Source organism: Homo sapiens, chromosome 2 (assembly GCF_000001405.40).
Source record: "Homo sapiens chromosome 2, GRCh38.p14 Primary Assembly".
In the NCBI taxonomy this organism is placed as follows: Eukaryota; Metazoa; Chordata; class Mammalia; order Primates; family Hominidae; genus Homo; species Homo sapiens.
In genome coordinates this window covers 222,018,724-222,028,349 of record NC_000002.12, presented here as the reverse complement: position 1 = coordinate 222,028,349, position 9,626 = coordinate 222,018,724, and the positions used below count along the sequence as shown (strand labels likewise).

At 41.4% G+C, this 9,626-nt stretch overlaps 2 annotated features.

Moving 5' to 3' along the window:
- Positions 1,480–2,466: an enhancer, noted in NCBI's record as "OCT4-NANOG-H3K27ac hESC enhancer chr2:222890603-222891589 (GRCh37/hg19 assembly coordinates)". NCBI's record gives its function as "activates a minimal SCP1, AML or CMV promoter by ChIP-STARR-seq in naive and primed H9 embryonic stem cells {active_cell/tissue: H9 hESC(naive and primed)}" and the evidence as "EXISTENCE:reporter gene assay evidence [ECO:0000049][PMID:30033119]".
- Positions 2,467–3,453: an enhancer, noted in NCBI's record as "OCT4-NANOG-H3K27ac hESC enhancer chr2:222889616-222890602 (GRCh37/hg19 assembly coordinates)". NCBI's record gives its function as "activates a minimal SCP1, AML or CMV promoter by ChIP-STARR-seq in naive H9 embryonic stem cells {active_cell/tissue: H9 hESC(naive)}" and the evidence as "EXISTENCE:reporter gene assay evidence [ECO:0000049][PMID:30033119]".

Genomic DNA, 9,626 nt, shown 5'->3' with positions numbered 1-9,626 from the left:
GATCATGGCTCACTGCAGCCCCAACCTCCTGGGCCCAAGCGATCCTCCCACCTTAGCCTCCCAAGTAGCTGGGACCACAGGCATGCACCACCACACCTGGCTATTTTTTTTTTTTACTTTTGTAGCGAGGAAATATCCTTATGTTGCCCAGACTGGTCTCGAACTCCTGGGGTCAAGCACTCCTCCTGCCTTGGCCTCCCAAGTGTTGGGATTATTGGTGTGAGCCACCATGCCCTGCCTCTTGACCTTTTATTATGGTATTTTTTGTCTGCAACAAGGCCAGGACTCAGGAGTGTTAGGACATGCCTGAAGAAGAGGATGGTGGCAAGGCCACAGGTCTCTCTAGGCTTAAGCTTCCTTTCTCCTCCTCAAGCATCTGGAAGATGTAATTCTGCCCTGCATGCCTACTGCACTTATTTCCTCTCTCTTCCTCCGTTTGCACCCCCTCTACCTGCATGACATTGCTTAGCCTCTACTGTGCACTTTTTTATTATTTTATTTTATTTTATTTTTTTGAGATAGAGTCTCGCTCTGTTACCCAGGCTGGAGTGCAGTGGTGCAATCTTGGCTCACTGAAACCTCTGCCTCCCGGGTTCAAGTGATTCTCCTGCCTCAGCCTCCCTAGTAGCTGGGATTACAAGTGTGCGCCACCACACCCGGCTAATTTTTGTATTTTTAGTAGAGACAGGGTTTCACCATGTTGGTCAGGCTGGTCTCGAATTCCTGACCTTGTGATCTGCCTGCGGCAGCCTCCCAAACTGCTAGGATTACAGGCATGAGCCACCACACCCGGCCTACATTGCTTTTATCCCTAACATACCTCCTGTCTTAGGCTGGGGTTTGTTCTTGAGCCATTTGTCTATTTTGAGAGAATTTATAAGCCACTGGCCCCCAAATCTGCTGTTGAATTTATTGTTAGGGGTGGCGTTGCCCACAAGTTGAGAATAGAGGGAAAAAATTTATCAGAGGCTAGCTGAGACAAAAATGCCTCTCTTAAAGAGCTAGCTGATCTGCTTTGTAATCTGATGTAAATTGTGCGACATACCTTGTTTCTCCTTTTTGAATGGATTTCTGAGAACTGAACCCATTCTGGATTTTTAAAACCTGCCTGGATTTTCAAAGATCAAGGTGCTGTAGAAATATTTTGGCAGAACTCTACCAAATGTATTATTGCATGTTATTGAAATACCATTATTTCCCTTATCTTAATTTCCTTTTCTCTCCTTCCCTCTGGTTTTCTATTTTTATATTGACATTCTATTTTATAATATCATTTGCTGCTGCAAATTTCTTTTTAGAATGAGGCGATAAATAAATACATACACAAATACATAATCAAATAAGTAGAAAGTAAATAAATTTCTAACCTGTCCTCAGAAACCTCTGTTTTTCTTTTTTTTTTTTTTTAAAGACAGGGTCCACTCTGTCACCCAGGATAGAGTGCAGTGACACAATCATGGCTCACTGCAGCCTCAAATTCCTGGGCTCAAGCAATCCTCCCACTTCAGCCTCCTGAGTAGGTGGGACCACAGGTATGTCACCACACCTGGCTAATTTTTTAACGTTTTGTAGAGACAGGGTCTCATTATATTGCCCAGGCTGTTCTCAGACTCCTGGGCTCAAGTGGTCCTCCCCGCTCAGCCTCCAAAATTGCTGGGATTGCAGGAGTAAGCCACTGCACTGAGCCACTTGTCTGTTCTTTTTTTTTTTTTTCCCTCACTTCCTTTCCCACGTACCTGTCCACAAACCCTCTACAAAGAGGGGAAACAAAACACAATGCCTAATATGCCCCTGAGTATTTGCAGAAGAGAAACAGAGGAACACGTTATTAAATCATTCGATCTCACCTGTCGTTTTTCAGCTGTTATTGGTGGCTTGAGAAGGCACATGTGCATTCCCTTTTCATCAGGGGAATTTAAAGTCCATGAAGCGGGAGACTGTCTTTTCTTTAATCAGCTTCAGGCACCTGCTACACTTTGGGTCACATGCGGAATGTGCTGATGAGGAGGAGAATGGGGACTTCTGTGGGAAGCTGTGGAAATTTCCGACAACTTTAATAGCAGGATCAATACCTCGGCAACTGGGAGCAAGAGAAGGAACCAGAAGAACCTGGAGAATCATTTCCGCCTCCTGATTTGTGAGCTAACAGAGGGCTGGAGGTGGATTCAAGCTCAACCATAGATAGATGTTCTCCCGCCTGGTATTTTCTATATATTTAAATCTTCCTGCTAACACAAAGTACAGTGCAGATGCCTTTCACTTTGTGTGACAGCTCTGTTTCTGGGCATTTCTATGTAAATTGAGCCCTTGTACTGTAAATGGGCTCATTTAACATACAGCTGGGCAGCTCTCAGTTCAAAGGAACCCTGGAGCGAATCCTTTTGAAAGCAAGGGACCTTCTGTGACTTAGGTAATCACATTCTAATTTATATTTTCTCTTAATTTGGATTGTAACTTAAAGAGCTTCTTTATAAATCTTTACTTAATGTAAGTAAATAAATTAGTGCATATCCTATAATATTTTTTCCAGGGGCAAAATAATCAAATGTGTCATACTTGCAATATTTTAAGTCAATGATTTAATCATAGCCTTAGGAGAGTACAGATGTCATGGAAAGTTTCTGCTCATTAGCTCTTCTTACAAAGTGGGGATAGCCAGAGTCTAGTTTGTTCATCTGAGAATGTCGAGCTGGGCTGTTGCCCTGGGATGTCCTGAGTTTTTTCATGAAAAGCTACAGTTCTTCAAGTCTGGCTCATTGCATATGCCACAGACCTTGGGTCTTCAATGAGCCAAACTTTAAGAAAGAAGAAATTAGTTCAAATCATAACTAGATTCGGTTGCTTGCCTTAAACCGGTTTGACCTTGAGCGAGTCTCTTGAAACCACTGAGCTTCAATTTTCTCAGCTTCTCAGCTTGAAAATGGACTAAAATATTACATATGGTCTCTGAGAGAATGTGGAGAGACAATATTCATAACACACTTTATAAAGTGCAAGGTATAAAACGTATTAGTAATTGATAGAGGACAGGGGTTTTTGTTTTCTGTTTTCCTTTCATTTTGCTTTAAACTGTCCTCTGCTTTGTAAATAAGCTCTCTCCTGGAGTCCGCTAATTCTGATTGTTTTAACTGAACCTACTTGATTGTCTTTAAGATTTCCTGGAGATTAACAACCTTCCTTAGAAAAATGCGTCCCTTTGAAAGGACACAGGTTAGGAAGATTTCTAGAGAAGGGAAAGTTCGCCCTCTAGTGTGGCCCAGGAGAAACATAGTATAGGAATTTATAAAGTAGGTCAAAAATGTGCTTTCAAAAGAAGCTGCTATTACTTTATTATCTTCCTCACAAATTTTGGATGGAACCCCCCCATTTCTTCAGCAATTTAGCTTGACAACTAGATATTTACTCTATAGATCTTCAAAGGAAATGTTTACATCTTATAATACCGTATATTCCTCTGACCCTTTGAAAGCCATTGAAGACAAGTAAAATTTTCAGAGTTAGTTCCATTTATTCTTACCGGGTGGTATTTGTATAGTCATAGTTGTAATGTACATGCTCAGTAGAATCTTGCCTTTATTTATTTTGCTTGATTTAATTTCAAATTAAATGACCTCAATCAAGATTATAAACTAAGCAGCTGATGCTGTAAATTGTAGACTCTGCTCCTGGCAAGTAGAGAATGGGCAGAGAAATGAATACTGTCTAATAATTTCAAAATGATAGTAGGCATTTCATCACACCAGCAAACAATACACTAATACACAAGATTTTTTTTTTCTCATGGAATTACTGGTTGTTTATATTGTTTTAAATTGACAAGGGCACATCTTACCAAGCTTCGAGCTTTAAGCCAGCAATTTTTATTCTATTTTGGGACACCTTGATAAAGAAATGTAGCAAGTGTAACTTCCACAAGCCACTCAGTTATAGGTTCCAATAATTCACGATCTTTATTTTCCTATTATGTGATGTAACTCATATCTTGATTCTTATTTCTGCCTCTTAGCAAAAAACTTAACCAAGTTATTTTCAGGCCTACTGGTGTACTGGAGCCAGCTCGTGTCAGCATGCAAGAGCTAATTGTTAAATTTTCAGAGAATTTTCATGCCAGTTATTATTACTTTGTGAAATAATACATAATTCTCAGAGACATTTGGAAAATGTAGAAAAGTTTTAAAGAAAACAAAATTATTCACATCTCCACCACTCAGAGACAACTACAGTTAATATTTTATTGTGCATTTTCTCTATTTTTTGTGTACTATATATAGTTTTCTTTCGAAAATTTATTTCTTTTTCTATTTTGCAGTGAGCTTTTCTCTGTCATTAAATAGGCTTTCATAATGAGGGTTTTTTTTTTTAATTATTTCAACTTTTCTTTTAGATTCAGGAGGTACATGTGCAGGTTTGCTACATGGAAACATTGTGTGATGCTGAGGTTTGAGGTATGGATGAACCCATCACCCAGGCAGCAAGCACAGTAACTAATAAGAGTTTTTCAGCCCTTGTCCCACTCCCTTCTTCCCCTCTGGTGGTCTCCAGTACCCATTGTTCCCTCTTTATGCTGATGTATGCTCAATGTTTAGCTCCCATTTATAGGTAAGAACATGGCAGTATTTATTTTTCTGTTCCCGTGTTAATTCGCTTAGGATAATGAACCCCAGCTGCATCCACATTGCTGCAAAAGACATGATTTCATTCTTTTTCATGACTGCATAGTATCCTATGGTATTTATGTACCACATTTTCTTTATCTAATCCACTGTTCACGGGCATCTCAGTTGATTCCCTGTCTTTGCTATTGTGAATACTGTTGTGATGAACATGAGTTCATGTATCTTTTTGGTAGAATGATTTATTTTCCTTTGAATATATACCCAGGAATGAGATTGCTGGGTCATAGTTCTGTTTTAACCCATTTAGGCCTGAGGTTGCAATTTTTTGAATTTTTGTAATGAGACCTTGGAGGTGACCTTGAGCAGTAGGATATAAATAACTCCCACGTGCTTAGTGTTCCAATAATGGAACACTAGGCATATTAAGTTCTTTGAGAAATCTCCACACTGCTTTCCAGAGTGTCTGAACTAATTTACACTTTCACCAACAGTATAAAAGCATTCTCTTGTCTTCGTAGACATGCCAGCATCTGTTATCTTTTGACTTTTTTTTTTTGAGACAAAGTCTCACTCTTGTTGCCCAGGCCGGAGTTCAATGGCACGATCTTGGCTCACCGCAACCTCCGTCTCCCGGGTTCAAGCGATTCTGCTGCCTCAGCCTCCTGAATAGCTGGGATTATAGGCACCTGCCACCACACCCACTAATTTGTTGTATTTTTAGTACAGACAGGGTTTCCCCATGTTGGCTGGGCTAGTCTCGAACTCCTGACCTCAGGTGATCCACCCGCCTTGGCCTCCCAAAGTGTTGTGGGATTATAGGTGCAAGCCACTGCACCTGGCCATCATTTGACTTTTTAATGATAAGCTGTTCTGTCTGGTGTGAGATGGTGTCTCACTGTGGTTTTGATTTGCATTTCTCTGATGATTAGTGATGATGAGCATTTTTTCGTAAGTTTCTTGGACACTTGCATGTCTTCTTTTGAGAAGTGTCTATCCTTTGCCCATGTTTTAATGGGGTTATTTGCTTTTGCTTGTTGATTTGTTTAAGTTCCCTATAGGTTCTGAATATTAGGTCTTTGTTGGATGCATAGTTTGTGAATATTTTCTTCTATTCTGTAGGTTGCTTGTTTACTCTGCTGATATTATCTTTTGTTGTGCAGAAACTCTTTAGTTTAATTAGGCCCCGTTTGTCAATTTTTTGTTTTTGTTGCCATTGCTTTTGAGGACTTAGCCATAAATTATTTGCCAAGGCCAGTGTTGAGAAGGGTATTTCCTAGATTTTCTTCTAGGATTTTTATAGCTTGAGGTCTTATACTTAAATCTTTCATTCATCTTGACTTAATTTATATATGATGAAAAGTAGAGATCCAGGTTCCCTCTTCCACATATGGCTAGCCCAGTTATTCCAGCACAACTATTCTAATAAGGAGTCCTTTTCCCATTGTTTATTTTTGTCAACTTTGTTGCAGATCAGATGGTTGTAGGTGTGTGGTTTTGTTTTTGAGTTCTCCATTCTACACCATTGATCTATGTGTCTGTTCTTGTACCAGTACCATGATGTTTTGGCTACTGTAGCCTTATAGTATAGTTTGAAGTTGGGTAATGTGATGCCTCAGGCTCTATTCTCTTGGCTTGGTTGCTTTGGATCTTCAGGCTCTTTTGTGCTTCCATATAAATTTTAGAATAGTTTTCTGTAATTCTGTGAAGAATGATGTTGGTACTTTGGTAGGTATAAGATTGAGTCTGTAGATTACTTTGGGTAGTATGGTCATTTTAACAATATTAATTCTTCTGATCTATGAGCATGGAGTGTTTTTCCATTTGTTTGTGTCATCTAGAATTTTTTTCGGCAATGTTTTGTAGTTTTCCTTATAAAGATCTTTCACCTCCTTGGTTAGAGGTATTCCTATGTATTTTATTTATTTATTTTTATATGGATGCCAGTTGTTAAGAACTCATTATTAAAAATTAAATTGTATAAACTTACAGCTAAATAAAGTATAGTAAAATTAAGGATTATAAGACTCATCTTTCCTAATTGGTTTTGGTGGGCACTGTAATGTAATACCAAGGTCTTCATACTCCCTGCCAATTCCCATAGGTCCAGGCCCACATTTCCCTTTTTGGCGCTGAACTTTTAGTCTTGGTCCTTCCAGGTCTCCCTCCAGCACGCCAGACCATTCACCACTGCCTATGAGTCAAGCCCTTTCTCTTTCCCCACAAAGTGGATGATCAAGTGTCATACCTAACCCACTGCCTACAAGGAGGATTTTCTCCCACCTTTTTTTTTTTTTGAGACAGAGTCTCACTCTGTTGGGCAGGCTGGAGTGCAGTGGCATGATCTTGGCTCACTGTAACTTCCACCTCTTAGGTTCAAGCAATTCTCGTGCCTCAGCCTCCCGAGTAGCTGGAATTACAGGCGCATGCCACCATGTCTGGCTAATTTTTTTGTGTTTTTAATGGAGATGGGGTTTCACCGTGTTGGCCAGGCTGGTCTTAAACTTCTGACCTCAGGTGATCTGCCTGCCTCAACCTCTCAAATTACTGAAATTACAGGTGTGAGCCACTGCACCTGGCCCACCCTTGTCTTAGAAGGCCACCCCAAGAAAAACTACATTTTCATCTTGTAATCACAAAACAGAGCTACCATTGGAAATCACACTCTGACTTTCACTTCCAGCTTGCATGCAGGAGTCTCCATATGGCAAGAGCTGTGAGCCGAGGAAGGGTGCTGGTGGGATATAGGTGGGGGCCATGAGGGTCTGGGCTATGCTCACGGAATATGCTGTCCCTTCTGGTTCTGCTAGGCTTAATCTTTGATGCAACATTTTCATCTTATAATGAATTCCTGATGGGCCTCTGTTATGACTTGATGAGGCTGAGGGGACTAGTAATTCTAGTCGAATGGTCATTTGTCATCTCAGCTCTACCAGGGCCAAACAACGTGACAAGATTGTCTTTCAAAAGGTGTATAATTCTCCGCTGCAGAAGACATGGCATGCTCCAGTCCCCAAAGGGTTTATATTGGGGTTCTCACACTGGGATGTTCCAGACTGCACAAAGCATCTTTTCTCTCTACTGCTGTTTCCAGAACCATTGCATTTGTTGAGTTGTTTTCCCCAGTGGCAGGCTGCTTGCACTGCCTTAGGCTGCTTCAGGGCCCTTTCCTGCTCCAGGCCCCACTCAAGATCCAAGCTCTTCATATTTCCCGGTATATAGATAAAGCAGTAATTCCAGGTGTGGAATATGCTGCCCCAGAACCCAAAAAGGCCTTTCCTTTCTGTGCCTTCTTTGTTATAACAGGGCACAATGCAATGAGCTGCTTCTACTTTGGAATGGATGTCCTGACCACTGGATTTCTAAACATTTTACAGATGTGGCAGGTTCTGATTCTTTGTGAGTTTTACTTCCCACCCTCTGTAGCACATGTGTGGCCCACAGCATGCAAGCCACCTCTAGCTCATTCAGCCCCACCAACATAATACTTTTCATGTAACAGATCAATGTGCTGTTTTCTAGGATGTTCAGATGGTTCAGATCTCTCTAACCTTTCTATGTTAAAGGGTAGGAGAATTAACGTAGCCCTGGGGCAAACCTTCAAATGTTTCCTGTTCTTTATTCCATGTTAATGCAAACTTTTTTATTCTCTTTTCTGATAATGATAGAAATGAACACCTTCACCAAATCAATGGCCACACACCATGTGTCTGAGGCTAAGATACCACAGTGAGCATGGTGACTGCAATCTGGGTTGAACTTGCATCCCAGGCATACTGCAGGATTCATCCTCCAGTTTCCAGGGACCAGACTGGTGAATTTAATGAAGGTATGATAGGGACTATCTATGGCCTTTGCATCCTTTAGACTCTTAAGGAGATCACTCATGTGGATCTCCCCCAGGAGATGCAATATTGCTTTTGATTTATTATCTTGGCCAGAAAGGGTCAGTTTCAGAGACCTCCATGTTGCCTTCTCCGCTCTGATAATTCTTACCCTGCAGAATAAGGCATCAACTGCGAAGTATATTGATCTCAGTTATATATTTTGAGACTGAACAAATGGCACTGAGTGGGTCTGGTGACCCAGTATGACCCACTGTATGCCAAATGTTTCAGGATTACATGGATTACATAGATTCTATATGCCCCCATTCTAATATGAAGAGAGGCCTGATGATGCTCCAGGTATTACAGTATTAATGTCAATCAGATCCTGTGTCCAATAATTGAGATGTCTGGTGGTCCATTTTCTCCAGTGTTCAGTTACTCATGCAAAAGGCTGTAGGTTCCTTTGTGGAAGAATTAGGAAATTGCCACGGTGTGATTGGCATGATGGTGCAGGATCCTTTCTCCTAGAGAGCTGGTCACCTCATCAGCCAGTGGGCTCCAGGTCTGAAAACTGGCTCAGGTCTGGAATCTGGGAAAGGGGTGACTTCCCCTCAGCCTCCTGGCCATCCATTCTTGATATCTTCCACTGGTATAAACTGAGTAATATCCATGTCAATTGTCCATCTATTTTGTCCCCAGAGCTGCTACATTCTCTCAACCATCTCCATAACTTGTGTATGTGCCCCCCCCCCGCCCACCCAGCTGCCACTCCAACTCATTCAGACCCCAGGCTTCCAACGGTGAAGTCTTACTGCCTGACCTCTGTTGTTCAGGCATTCTAGCCTATCATCTGATTGCTATTGATGAACCAGATTCCGTAGCAGGTTCTCCCACTGTCAGCCCAGGCCTGCAGGGGACAGCCACCACTCACCTTCTTAGTGATGCCGGTGCCTGCTCACCAGCACATTCCAGTAGCCTTGGTGTGTGTCATGTCACCTGGACCCTCTGGTGGAACCTAATCTGGATGTCTTTTGGCTGTATGCAGTATATCCATTCCAGCAGGTTCCACTTTCCAGAGACTTTTAATCTCTTGCTCCACCATTCTGCCACCTCAATTCTGTCTTTTCAGCATGAGCTATTGCTTTTTTGATGCCTCTAGGAGCCACATTAGCAATGATTTAGT